General features: G+C 58.8%; 1 protein-coding gene and 1 pseudogene across 8 annotated transcripts; one reads left to right on the top strand and one right to left on the bottom strand.

The window, feature by feature from the left end:
• LOC100420852 (nitric oxide synthase 2, inducible pseudogene) overlaps window positions 1-13837 on the bottom strand; it is a 52131-nt pseudogene that overhangs the window by 34391 nt on the left and 3903 nt on the right.
• Window positions 2746-13668, top strand: TBC1D3H (TBC1 domain family member 3H). Of its 8 annotated transcripts, none has more exons than NM_001123392.4 (14): window positions 2764-2874; window positions 4303-4375; window positions 4538-4623; window positions 5906-5945; window positions 6428-6508; window positions 6952-7059; window positions 7389-7498; window positions 8747-8795; window positions 9339-9459; window positions 10173-10267; window positions 10652-10717; window positions 11181-11280; window positions 11651-11803; window positions 12785-13668. In NM_001123392.4, the coding sequence occupies exons 2-14, from the start codon at window positions 4304-4306 to the stop codon at window positions 13351-13353; spliced, it is 1650 nt and encodes a 549-aa protein (NP_001116864.3). In that variant the 5' UTR covers window positions 2764-2874; window position 4303; the 3' UTR covers window positions 13354-13668. The 8 variants fall into 8 exon arrangements, with proteins under 8 accessions (XP_006722118.1, XP_011523474.1, XP_011523478.1 ...); XM_011525173.3 differs by having other exon boundaries at window positions 5723-5945; XM_047436636.1 differs by having other exon boundaries at window positions 3018-4375; window positions 5723-5945.

Genomic DNA, 13837 nt, shown 5'->3' with positions numbered 1-13837 from the left:
GCCGCCAATGCAAACTGGCCCCTGGCTGGTTTCCTACCCTGCACCCTGCCATGCAAGTCCTACCCCTACCCCTACCCCTGTCTGCCCCACCTCCACCCCTAGGCTGCCCCACACCCAGGCTCCAGAAGTCTCCCAGGATCCAGGAACTAAGGGCAGCCTCTGGGTTCCATAGCCCCTAGTCCATGAGTCAGCCACCCCTCTGCGTGCTGACAAACCTTGGCTCTCATGCCCCACCCCAAGCCAAGCACACAGCCCTGTCCCCCCACCAGCATTATCACCGCCTCCTGATTTTGGCCCTGACAGCCCTGCTTCCTGGTAACCTTGCCCCCTCCCACCCTGCTCCAGGCAAGCCCAAAGGCCAGGCCCTCCACCCACCCTTCCTGGGGGCCACTCTACTATCTCCTTGCCCAGATGTCTTAACCTGGCTTTACCAAGATAGAATAAATAACAGGGATGAGGCCCCGGACCCCGCCAGGAAGATGTGCCAAAATACCCTCCATTTAGAAGCGGGAACAGTGATGGGGCCTATGGATGACCCCAGGATTGTCACCCAAGCAGCAAGAAGGGCAAGGAGCCCAGTTTCCTGCCCTTACCTGGGGAGGACGTGGCCAGGGCTCCAAAAGGCCCTGGAGAGGGGTGGGCAGGAGAGCAGATCCACCCTCCTCTTGAGGAAGCAGCCACCATCCCCAGGAAGAGCAGATGGGGGCACACAGGCAGAGTCCCCACGTGCTGTAGAGCAGGGCCAGCAGAACTGTACTCAGCCCCAGCCCCAGGGGAGCTGCAAGATAGACTGAGACCCTCACAGGTTGGGCTCTGTGTCCCCACCCAAATCTCATCTGGAATTGTAATCCTCCTGTGTCAAGGGAGGAACCTGGTGGGAGGGGATGGGATCTGGGGACAGGTTCCCCCCTGCTGCTCCCCTGATAGTGCGGGAGTTCTCAGGAGAGCTGATGGTTTGAAAGTGTGGCACTTCCTGCTTCTCCGCTCACTCCCTCCTGCCGCCTTGTGGAGAAGGTGCCTGCTTCCCCTTCGCCTTCTGCCATGACTGTAAGTTCCCTGAACTGGGAGTCGATTAAACCTCTTTCCTTTATAAATTACCTAGGCTCAAGTATTTCTTTATAGCAGTGTGAAAACAAACTAATACCCCTTCCCTGAGGCGCCTTCTCCTTAGGCAACCCGCTGCTCCCATGCTCCTCCTCTGCCCCCTGTTCTTTCTTTTCCCCTCATGAGGCCCAAGTGATAAACGGGGCCAGCCCCAGTGCCAGCCCCAGCCCCAGCCCCATCCTACTGCAGGCCTGTGTGGCTGCTGGAGAGGCCGTGTTCCTTTCCTCTCCCCGAGCCTGCCTGATATGCTTTCTGGATCCTGGAGGAAACTGACCCCCTATTCTCATACTGGTGCAACATCTTCCAAGACCTCAAAGCTGTACCATTTGAGCCAGTCTTTTTTCTTATCTCCACTTGCTAGGGCTGTCATTGGGACAGTCCTAGAGGGTGGTGCCAATGGATGAATGGATGGATGGACAGTAGTCCAGGGATGATGTCCCTGTCTGTCCTGAACCGGGCCCTTCCTCCAATGAGAAGCCTTCCTGAGTGAGTATATACAGTCATCCCTTGGTATCCATGGAGGATTAGTTCTAGGGTCCCCGGGAATGCCAAAATCCATGGATGCTCAAGTCTCTGATATAACGTGGCCTAGTATTTACGTATAAGCTATGCGCATCCTCCCGTATACGTTAGACCGTTACTAGATTATTTATGATGTGTAATACAATGCAGATGCTACATAAATGGTCGTGATACTGTATTCTTTAGGGAATGATGACAAGAACAAAGTCTGCACATGTTCAATAGAAACATAACCGTCCAATTTATTTTCTGAATATTTTCCATCTGCTGTTGCTGAATCTACAGATGCAGAGCTCCTGGATACGAGAGCCAAGTGTGCTTTGAGAGTAGGGTGGGTGAGGTTGCTAATGAGTACAGGGGAGCAGGTGTTGATCAGGAGGACCCTGCACTGGGGCATCTGGACGTCCTGCCTCAGGACTTGAGACTCCAGTTGGATGGCACAGGTAGACTCAGCCCAGGTCAAAGCCGTCCCCTTGAAGTTTCTTTTTATCCCAAGCTCTTTCTGGACCCTGGAATTCGGCATCCCCTAGGCCCTGCGTGGAAGGACAGATGAACCAGGTTTTAGATAACGTGTCTAGAAGAGTGAGCCCCTACTGTGTGCCCGGCACTTTCCCCACAGGATCCTCTAGCTAGAATATCCAAGGGTCATGGAGAGAAATACCCAGTTAAAATATCAGAAATGAAAAAGTGATACCATTAGAGACACTAAAAAGACCATTAGGTAATAGTATTAGCTTTTGTATTCTGAGATCCAATAGCAGCAGTCACTTCCCTCCACCGCTATGTGTATCCCAGGACCACCCTGGGCGGGGAGGGCTGGGGTTAGGGAGCAGCCATGGATGCTCTGATGCTGGCCCTGGGCCTCGGGGGTGACAGTGATGAGGAACTGGGTGCACACATGAGTGGGGCAGCCGGGCCTGGCCAGAGAAGCAGCACACACGTGCACAGACGTGTTTACCCACATACACATGTGCACGCACGTGCACAAACACATTGCAGGCAGGCATGTTGACGCCTCAGGCAGCGGAGGACCCTGACTCTGGGCGCTGCTGACCCGGGCAAGGCCCCACTGTGATTCGTGCCATGACCTCAGAATGTCACTGGTGCTTAGCACCTGTCTGCTCTCTGGCCTGCCTCAGTGGTCTACAGCAGTTACACACAGGCAGTGGTATCTGTGAGCAGCTCTGTGGACTCAAAGGTTTTCTCCCTGAGAGGCATGACCCAGGCCAGCTGATTCATCAGAATCAGGTGAGCGTGACCTGCTCTCTTCCCTCCAGGCGGACTTGGGGGCAGTGGCTACGGTGCGGGCGGTGTTGGCCTCTGTGGGGCAGCTACCGAGGAGGGTCATCCCTGAGCACTCACCAGGCGCCCGTTCTACACTGCCCGTGTAGACGATTGGCTCTTTCGTCTCCATGGTGGCTTCGTAGAGTGGGTGCTGTTCCCAAATGTCCCCATTCGACAGATGAGACGTCTGGGGTCAGAGAGGCAGTAACCGGCCTGGGAATCCGGACATGACCCTGAGTTTTGCTCTCAGCCCTGCCGTGTGCTGTGCTGGAATTCAGGCCTGAACCCTGTGACCTCCCTGCCCTAGATCCCAAATCTGCCCAGGTTTCCCATCCCGATGGGGCAGAGCCTGGTCCTGGCAGAGCCACTGGTATAGAGCCACTGGTACAGATCCACTGACGGTCCTCAGAACACCTCTGTGCCCTAAGCTGGGTCCTGATGGTCGCTGTGGGCCCCACTGAACACACATGGTCCCTTGTCCGGGGGAGCCTGCTGCCCTTGGGCAGCTGTGGAAAATGAAGGAGCCCTGGAGGGCTGGCTGAGGGGAGACTATCTTCCCTTGTGTTCAAAGGGGTCCGGGCACTAGGGTTCTCCCCAGGTATTTCTTGCTCTGCGTGGTCCTCTTGAGGCCTCGCCCTCCTTTTGCCTCGAGTATTCCCAGGAGGGACGGTCCATCCAGCTGTTCTCCAGGACCAAGGACCCACTGTTCTTCCTCAGTGACCCAGGAAAATGAAGCCTCCTCCTGTTGGGACGGCTCAGAATGGTGGACTCCACAGTCCCTCCGCGAGAGACGTGGTTTCCATGCGTACAATAGATCTTCCTCATCCCCCAAACCCAACACCCTCCTGCTCAACAGGCGTTATTCCTAAAGTGGCTTCACTGTTCAGACTGAAGAGCCACGGTAGCCAAAGTGATGAGCGGAGTAGAACCGAGCAGTCGGGAGAGATCTTGTTCCCTGTAGGAAACTGGGCATCGCTGAGGCCCTGAGCATCCCAGGAGGCCGATTGCACAGAGACCTCTGGTCGCTGACCCCAGTCTGCCTCCACATCCCTGGAATAGCCCATCATGGGCCCTTCACCCTTGGCAGGTGGAAACCATTCAACCTGCTGGGGCCGGTGTGTCCCCATTTCATGGCATTGGGGGACAACAGGATTCTCTGTCTAGGTCCCACTGTACTCAAGTCCTTGGGAAGATGCCCACCCCTGCTTGGGACTTGAGACTCCAGAGACTGGAGCAGCTGTGGGCCACTGGGTCTGGCCCCTTTTTCCCTGGGGGCGGCGGTGGAATGGGGGTTACGCAGCCAGCCAGCATCTGGGAGCCCGGCGAGAGCGGTTCAGGTGTTCTCCGAAGCCGCCGCGTACAGTGTGACCTTTAGACAATTCTGTCTCACAGGATGGACGTGGTAGAGGTCGCGGGCAGTTGGTGGGCACAAGAGCGAGAGGACATCATTATGAAATACGAAAAGGTACAAGTCGGTCTGCTTCTTGGAGGGAGGCCTCTTCCAGTGTGCCCTGGTCAAAGGGTCCTGGGCTCCCTAGGAGCACAGGGCAGGGACGGGTGGCCAATGCCCCCAGGCCCTTGCACCCTTTACCTTGGACCCCTCACCAAGGCTCCCTCTGGGCTACAGGGACACCGAGCTGGGCTGCCAGAGGACAAGGGGCCTAAGCCTTTTCGAAGCTACAACAACAACGTCGATCATTTGGGGATTGTACAGTGAGTCCTCTGCACTCCCCTCACCCCTAAAGCACCTGTCTCAGCTCAGGGATGGGTTTGCTTTTAGAAAGGCCTTTCTGACGCAGGACATGTCTCACCAGGTCGGGTCAACCTCCTTTCCAGGGACAGAACTCCTCCCTGACTCCCCTGCAGGTCCAGCCCGAGGTTGTTAGGCCAGAGGTGTGGGGCCCATCTAGGGAGCCGGTGGGAATGGAGACTGGGCTAGGTCAGGCCCCTGGGCGCTCAGCAGTTCTGTCGGCAAGTGAGCACAAGAGGAGCGGGGCAGCCTGAGGGTCTGGCCCTGTCTACTTGGAGACAAACCCGGTGAGATGCAAGGGTTATGGCCACAGGGTGAGGGGACGCCTGGCCCAGCCTCAGGGCTGTTGTCCAGCAGGTCTCTGAGGGCCCACCTGCCCCTGTTCTCCCCCATTCCCCTAGAGCTACAGCCCTCACTGTCCCGTGAGGGGAAAAGGCATGGTGACAATGGGGGCTGTAGCCCTAGGAGAACGGGGGGAAGATGGGCAGGGCCCCGTTCTGGGCATCTCACGGTGAGGCCAGGGAGGCAGCAGGGCTCGCGGCTAAAGACCTGGGTCTGGTGCTGGGAAGGGATCTGGGGCCGGGTAAGAGGAGCCCAGCCAGGAGCCCATCCCTCAGGGATCACAGGATGGAGAGACAGAGGATCCCTGGGGAGGTAGGGCGGGAGGGAGCTGATGAGCCGTGCCACTTCTGAAACGCAGGGTGTGTGGCTCGGGTGCAGGGAGAGGCAGGTGGATGCTGGGAGGTCAGAATCTGCAAGGGCCTTGGGGCTGTCAAGTGGGGTGGGCCCCTGGTGCAGCCAGAGTACACCGGGCAGGTCTCAGGGCAGGCTCCCTTGACCCTGGCGGGGGGATGTGGTCACTCCCTGAGGGACTCCTGTCAGGGCCCGGTCGCCCACCCTGGGCGGCCCCCATCCCATCTCAGGGCTAACCTTTCTCAGCTCCAGCAGAAAGCACCACCTCGAGTCCAGGACGGGCAGCCCCATTGGGCAGCCTGACCGCCCCCCACGCCAGGGGCCCCAGTAACCCCGGCCAGGCTGTCCCTACACTCCTTCTTCTCCCAGGTCCTGCCCCTCCTGGGAATCAGCCCCACAGGAAGGCCCTTGTCCTCCCTTCCCTGTGCCTTCTCCTGGGCTGAGCCCTGAGCTGGAAAGGGACAGAGCCAGTCCTTTCTGGGGGTCGGCACCCAGGCTGGGGCCGCTCCAGGCCCCGTGCAGTTCCTCAGCTCTGCCTGGGTTGCCTTACAGTGAGACGGAGCTGCCTCCTCTGACTGCGCGGGAGGCGAAGGTAAGAGCCTGATGCGTGGAGGGGCTGGTCCAGGGACGTAGGGACTGGGCGGGTGGTCAGTGAGGCAGAGGAAGCAGCTGGCCTGAGCGGTGGCGGGTGAGGGCAACACGCTGTCACTGGGAGGGGCAGCAGTCCCTGCTGGACCTGACCCCAGGTTGCTGTTCACTTTGGCAGTTTGATAAAATTCCAAAAGGAGAACCACAGTCCTGGCTTGGGGGTGGCTGCGCGCTTGTGTCAGGACCCCACCTAGAGGCTGGGACCTAAGACTGGTGTGTCTGTGGCCTGAGGATGGTACATCCCGGGGTCCCAAAGCCAGCCCACTGGTGCTCATTTGCTCAAAGGCTCTCAGCCCTTGAGGTCTGCCCTTCCCTGGCTCCTTCCAGCTGGCTCCCACCAGGGCTCCAGAGCCCAAGACCCAGCATCCGCGGGCGGCTCTGGGAAGCCTGGCAGCTCCGCTAACTCCAACATGCCTCATTTGACAGCAAATTCGGCGGGAGATCAGCCGAAAGAGCAAGTGGGTGGATATGCTGGGAGACTGGGAGAAATACAAAAGCAGCAGAAAGGTAACGTGTGGAGGGAGGAAGCACTCTCTGCAGAGACAGGGGACAGGCACCCATGGCTGTGGCCTGGCACCATCAGCCTCTCAGAGGGTGGGCGGCACACTGTCCTCGCCCAGAGGACTGCAGGCCTGGTCGCCAGATTTCCTGCCTATTCGTGCAAGCGTCACCTTGCAGGGAGGGAATCTGAATCTAGGGCTGGGACTACCCGGAGCTCAAGGCTAGGGATGCCCTGGGGACCTGAAGGAAGGAAAAGGTTCAGATCAGAGTTTCGACTCTGAGTGTCCATCCACTCTTTCAGTCCTGGGAAGGGAGACCCTGTCCCAGCTTGATCTCACCTCTACTGAGGAATCATGGGGCCAAAACCGACAATTTCCAGAATCCCCGGGCTCTGGTCCTCACTGGGGTCACCCCGTGGCCTGTGACACCAGATCGTTTTCTGCCCACAGCTCATAGATCGAGCGTACAAGGGAATGCCCATGAACATCCGGGGCCCGATGTGGTCAGTCCTCCTGAACACTGAGGAAATGAAGTTGAAAAACCCCGGAAGATACCAGGTACGCTCAGCCAGAGCACAACAAACAGGACAGGCCGTGTCGGGGCCCAGGTCTCCAGCTGGAGGGAACGTCAAGACCACCCTGGGGAGCTGGGGGTGAAGGTCAGATGAACACCCTGGGCACAGATGGTGACACAGTCACCACAGACAAACTCAGCTCTGGTGACCCTCCCTGGCTTCAGTAACAAGCCAAAATGCAGCTTTCTGCAGAAGGAAACCTTCCTTCTGTCCTTCCTTCCCGAAGTGCTGACTGTGGGCTGACTGCCACTGGGGGCAGGGAGTCTTCCATCTGTTCTGAGACTGCTTCCTCCTCTTGGCCCTGCCCTACAGATCATGAAGGAGAAGGGCAAGAGGTCATCTGAGCACATCCAGCGCATCGACCGGGACATAAGCGGGACATTAAGGAAGCATATGTTCTTCAGGGATCGATACGGAACCAAGTAAGCCTACGGGAGCCACAGGGTCCCAGCAGAGATGGGGTGAATGAGAGGGATGGGGGCTTCCCCGGAGCAGAAGCCAGGGTCACCCAGGAGGGATGACACAGCTGCCAAGAGCTCTCCCGGCCCAGGGAGCAGCCGGCACCATGAACCGAGCACCTCCCTGGTTCCAAGCCCTGGGCCAGACTGGAACATGTGGGGCCAGAACCCAGGAGGATCCTGAGGAGATGGAAGGCAGCAAACAAAATCATGCACAATGGTGAAGGGTGCTCTCCCTGACCCATGGGGACCCATGGTAGGACCCACGGGAGGGTGGCAGGATAGAGGGCCCATGAGCCCCCCCCAGGCAACAGTGACAGCACCAAATGCTGGGAGAATTAGGGGTCCTGGAAACTCTCATCCAGGTCCGCTGGGAACATGACATGGCACAGCCACGTTGGCAGCCAGTTGGGCAGTGGCTCACAAAGCTCGATGGACTTGAACCACACATCCCCAAAGTGTCACAGATATTGAACCCACTGATTTGCAAACTGACATCCACATGAAACCAGCATGCCAGGTTCACTGCTTGACTCCTCGTCACTCACACACGGAGCCTTCGGGGACGGCCTTCAACACGGGGATGGGGAGAGCAAGGCTGGTCCTCCCTTCAAACGGAAGACCCAGTGAGAAAAGGGAACGAGCCGGTGATGCCCGCACGAACGTGGGTGGATCCTAGATGCATTTTGCTGAGGGACAGAAGCCAGACCCAATAAGCTACCACAGTAGGATTCCCATTCCTAGGCCATTCTGGAAAAGGCCAAACCACAGGGACTGAGAAGCAGTCTGGGTGGCCAGGGGCTGACGGATCGGGGAGAGGCTGGTTGCATAGGGGCCACCCTGGAGACTTGGAGGATGAAGGAGTCGCCCCAGGAGGGGCTGGAGCGGTGGCCGGGAGACTCTGCACATCGGTTTGGAACCGTGGAGGAACTGTACACCCACAGACTGAACTGGCGTGTGTGCAAACTGAAAAAAAAAATCATTCAGAGTGAAAAGGATCAGGCAAGTCACTGTACAACTGGGCTATTTGCATGTCACAGATGTGGATTTTACTGAAACATTTCTTCAAGAGTCTCAGGCCCTGAAGAGCTCACTGCTTATCTGGTGAAACATCTGAACCTGAAATGGGATTTGCTGTTAGGCTTTGTAGACAAAGTGAAATTAACAACATCTGCACAAAACAAACCAAAGCCCCCTTTCTCTGTTTCCTAGGCAGCGGGAACTACTCCACATCCTCCTGGCATATGAGGAGTATAACCCGGTGAGTATTCCCGGCAGTGAGGTTCCCGGGCCATATTTCCATATTGACAGGAGTGGGTGTCTGGTGGGGGTGTCGTTGCTTCTTTTAAAGTTAGTATTTGTGACCCACCAGGATATAGGAGGTAGGATGTCAGCTCACCGCTGGCATAAACCTCCAAGGAAGGGGGTGGTCTCAAGGGGTCAAGCTGAGACACAAAGGAGTCAGGGCCCGGACTCCTGGTGTCACCTGGGCCTGACCACCACTTCTCAGAACAAGAAATGACGCCCTCCTCCTGGGGCTGCCCCAAAGCCCAGGAGCTTGGCAGCATCGCACACAGGATGGTGCTATCAGCAGACATTTTGGACAAGGTGCTGAAGTGCCTGATGGACTTGGCTCTTGTCATGAAATGAATGTGCATCCTGAGGAAGCCTCTTTTTCAGAGGAAGCCTCTCCTTCAGAGGAAGCCTCTCCAGTCACCTCTGCCCTCTCCAATGACATGAGTCCTCCCAGGTGACCTCAGCCCTCCCAGGTGATGTCCTTCCATGGTGACTCTGGCTCTTGCAGGAGGTGGGCTACTGCAGGGACCTGAGCCACATCGCCGCCTTGTTCCTCCTCTATCTTCCTGAGGAGGATGCATTCTGGGCACTGGTGCAGCTGCTGGCCAGTGAGAGGCACTCCCTGCAGGGTAAGTGAACAGCTGCCCCGGGGACCTCCTGCAGCCAGACCTGGGGATGGCCACCCTGGCCAGGTGATCACAGCTTTCAGCCAAGGCACCCTCCTTGTGTCGCCAGCTTGTTGGGAGACTTTAGAATGTCTCTGCTGAGGGTCCCACAGGAGTCCACGGCTGACCCCCAAAGCCCAAATCAGACGCCTCTCATCCCCATCAGCAGAGGGCATCTCATCCTCCCCGTGGCCACCCTCTGTGTCCTGGAGCCACGCCCTCCGGCTCTGATTCTGTGCAGCTGACTCTCCCCTCCCTGAGAGTCCTCCTGCCCTCCAGCTGCCCGGGCTCCTGCTGCCATCGGTGCCCACGAATGGGCCGACCAAGCCCAGGTGGCAGCATCTCCCCATCCCCTGTTCCCTGGCCCGACCCCACTACCAGGAGATGACCGGGAAGCCCAGCGCCCACCCAGTTCCGGCCACCCTGTCGTGGCCTGAAAGTCAGGCTTGCCCTTTTTGCACCCTGGCCCAGGAGGCCTCCAGGGGAACCTCCAGCCAGGCTCCAGGGAATGTTCCCGCCCCACCTCCCCAGGGTAAAGGCCGCATGTTGGGGTCACCAGATGGGAGGGTGGGAGGCCTTGGGGTTTGGGGGCCTCTCCAGCTGCCCAGCTCTTGCAGCTGATGGCTCCACATCTTGGGGGAAGGCTCTGATTTCATGATGGGCTGGGGGCTTCTCAGGATTTCACAGCCCAAATGGCGGGACCGTCCAGGGGCTCCAAGACCAACAGGAGCATGTGGTAGCCACGTCACAACCCAAGACCATGGGGCATCAGGTGAGTTTATGGTCCCCTCAGCTCTTCCCAGAGGCCCTGCCTCCCGTGGGGCTGTAGGAGCAGGGGGGCTGGAGCCCCTCGTGGGGCTGGTGACTGGCTGAGTCCCAGCCAGGGCCTGACCTGGGACGTCGGGTTCTCCATGGGCTGGGAGTTGGTTTCCTTTCCTGCCCTGGAGGAGACAGAGGCACAGGGATGGGGGCCCAGCTCCCACAGAGCAGGGCAAAGGGCAGTGTGTCCACCGGGAGTGTGGGAAGGTGACAGTGTTGTGGGGAGCTCTGGACACCGCCCAGTGTTCTGCACTAGGGGAAGGGTCTTCAGAGGCCCTGGAAGAGGGAGGTTTTTAGGGCAGCCCAGTGGCCTGAGCACCTCTGTTGCTTCCATCAGGACAAGAAAGATCTATGTGGGCAGTGTTCCCCGTTAGGCTGCCTCATCCGGATATTGATTGACGGGGTAAGGAGGCATAGGGAGACCCTGGCTCAGGGACCTTCCTTGCCCTGCAGTGCCCTGCTTCCCCAGCCCGGGGGTCTGGCTCACTCCCAGCCCACAGGAGGCTCAGGCGGGTCCCCAAAGGACACACAAGCAAAACCCTCTGCCCAAGGGGGGTCATCCCAGGGCCATGGCTGGGGCTCAGGCCCAGCCTCATGGGCAGACTGGGCCAGGACCCGACTTGAGAGGGCTCAGGGAAGCCTCAAGCCCTGGGCAAGCCCCTCTCTCCAGGAGCCACATCCCCACTCAAATGAGTGCCCCCCATGAGGAGCTTCAAGACCTTGTCTGACCCAGCGTCCTGGAGGGCTCAGGCGACCCTCATGGGGAAGGTCACTGACTCTGGAGACTGAAGCCCCAGTGTGCGCAGCTCGAGCCACCAGCCCCAGCCTGGAAGGACCAGGTTCTTTCACACCTGCTGTCCCCACAGATCTCTCTCGGGCTCACCCTGCGCCTGTGGGACGTGTATCTGGTAGAAGGCGAACAGGCGTTGATGCCGATAACAAGAATCGCCTTTAAGGTTCAGCAGAGTAAGTCTACGTGTGCCCAGCGGGGCCTGGGGAGCCCTGGGGTCAGACCCCGACTGGCCCGAGGGCAGCTTCCTCACACTGTCCTCATGATCCTCTGTTCTGGCCCAGAGGGAGGTCTGGCCAGGTGGGCTGGGCAGGACACTGTGACACCGAGCCCATCCCCCACATGACCCAGATGAAAGTCGAGAGTGTGGTGAGCACTTCCCTGTCCGGATCGCCCCCCAGCCACAGTCTCCTGTGTATATCTGGACACCTGGGGTGGCCACAAAAGGATCCGGCACCGCCCAGTAGGAGACTGAAGTGGCCACGGGATATGAGCTGTGACCATTCCCAGGTAACTCCCCTGGCCTGATATCCACCCTGTCCCTAGAGCGCCTCACGAAGACGTCCAGGTGTGGCCCGTGGGCACGTTTTTGCAACCGGTTCGTTGATACCTGGGCCAGGGATGAGGACACTGTGCTCAAGCATCTTAGGGCCTCTATGAAGAAACTAACAAGAAAGCAGGGGGACCTGCCACCCCCAGGTGGGCTCCAGTGCCATGTCCCCTCCCATGTCACCCTCTGGGGTAGTCAGTAGTAGGGGAGTGCCCGGGACCCGCAACCCTACTACCTGGGCCTTCCTCTTCACCTTTTCTTCCTCCTCTTCCTCCTGGACTCTAAGAAAGTACAGGAGGCCCACCGGTCCTCAGGGCAGGCGCTCAGTGCGTGTATACTGGACATGCTGTGCACGCAGGAGGGGGATGTGGGCAAGACCCTCCAACAAGCCCCCTCCCACTTTCCACGGTGTCTCCCTCTCCCCCTCGCAGGGCCCTCCAAGTTACTAGACGAGCCCAGACCCATTTGTGGGAGACCCCGCCCCTCCCTGCAAGCACCCACAGCCTCAGAGAGCAGCAGAGGCCCCTCACTCCTGCACGCTCCTCCAAGGTTGCCAGGACAAGAAGCCTGGAGCCAGGGAGACAAGGGAATCCGTGTCTCTGACCCACAGAGCATTCAGGGAGAGGGCACAGGCGGGACCCCGGGCCCAGAGCCAGAGCCAAGAGTTCAGCCAGAAGTGGGAACGGTCAGTCCTGGCATGGACTGGGCAGCCCAGGAGGGCAGAGGGTGACCCACGTCCGGGCCCAATCACCCACTGCGGAGACGGGTCCCCACGTGAGGTGACAAGGGGCTGGGTGACATCCAAGGCCCCTCCCACCTGAGTTCTGACTGGGGGCCGTATCCCAGGCCCAACAGCCCTGGGACGAAGGTGTGTGGCAGGAAGCCCCCAGCCAGTCTGAACCCTGGGGGCAGTCCCAGGAGCCACCCGCCATGCCACGACAGCTTCCCCACGCCAGGCAGCATGCACCCCTCCCTCTGGGATCAGCAGACTACAGGCGTGTCCTCGGTGTCAGGCCACGGGGGCCACACAGAGACCCCGAGGACTCCAGAGACGCAGGCAGGTGGGGCCCAGCCCGGAAAGGCCTGCGTGGGCTCACTGGAGATGCTGACCGCGTCTGTTTTCCTTTCAGCCAAACCCGAGCAAGGGTCGTCGGCATCCAGGCCTGTGCCGGCTTCACGTGGCGGGAAGACCCTCTGCAAGGGGGACAGGCAGGCCCCTCCAGGCCCACCAGCCCGGTTCCCGCGGCCCATTTGGTCAGCTTCCCCGCCACGGGCACCTCGTTCTTCCACACCCTGTCCTGGTGGGGCTGTCCGGGAAGACACCTACCCTGTGGGCACTCAGGGTGTGCCCAGCCCGGCCCTGGCTCAGGGAGGACCTCAGGGTTCCTGGAGATTCCTGCAGTGGAACTCCATGCCCCGCCTCCCAACGGACCTGGACGTAGAGGGCCCTTGGTTCCGCCATTATGATTTCAGACAGAGCTGCTGGGTCCGTGCCATATCCCAGGAGGACCAGCTGGCCCCCTGCTGGCAGGCTGAACACCCTGCGGAGCGGGTGAGATCGGCTTTCGCTGCACCCAGCACTGATTCCGACCAGGGCACCCCCTTCAGAGCTAGGGACGAACAGCAGTGTGCTCCCACCTCAGGGCCTTGCCTCTGCGGCCTCCACTTGGAAAGTTCTCAGTTCCCTCCAGGCTTCTAGAAGCATCTGGGCCAGGGCTCATGGCTGGATAATTTCCCTAGGCTTAACAACCCAAGCAAGCTTCGCATCCTCGTTTTATTTTTGGTTAAACTTATGAAAATGTATTAAGAAAGAGTGCAGCTCGAGAGAGATTCAGAGATGGAACACACCAGACCCCAGATCACAAAGCCAACCATGCCCAGCCCCTCCCAGCACCCCCAGCCCCACGACCATCGTTCTGAATTCTGACGACACCGTGAGCCTGCCTTTGTACTTCAAACTCATGGAAGGATAACCACCTTCATGTTTTGAAATAAATGTTTCCTGTTGAAATGATTTTAGATTTTAGACAGAAATATTGAAAAGGCACTATAGTATCCTCCTATACCTTCCATCCAGCTGCCCCTAATAATGATGTTTTGCAGTCCCATGGCACATAAGAAATTTAGGCCGGGTGTGGTGGCTCACACCTGTAATCCCAGCAATTTGAGAGGTCGAGGCGGGA

Source organism: Homo sapiens, chromosome 17 (genome assembly GCF_000001405.40).
Source record: "Homo sapiens chromosome 17, GRCh38.p14 Primary Assembly".
Lineage (NCBI taxonomy): Eukaryota > Metazoa > Chordata > Mammalia > Primates > Hominidae > Homo > Homo sapiens.
Note: the sequence above shows the minus strand (reverse complement) of the source record. Positions and strands in the feature narration are given on the sequence as shown.

Excerpts from the sequence above, each read along its gene's own strand:
- TBC1D3H (XM_011525172.3), top strand. The coding sequence starts at position 4,304 with ATGGACGTGGTAGAGGTCGCGGGCAGTTGGTGGGCACAAGAGCGAGAG. Across the intron at positions 4,624-5,722 it reads GATCATTTGGGGATTGTACA|GTCCTGCCCCTCCTGGGAAT; the intron begins GTGAGTCCTCTG and ends TTCTTCTCCCAG. Across the intron at positions 6,509-6,951 it reads AATACAAAAGCAGCAGAAAG|CTCATAGATCGAGCGTACAA; the intron begins GTAACGTGTGGA and ends TTCTGCCCACAG.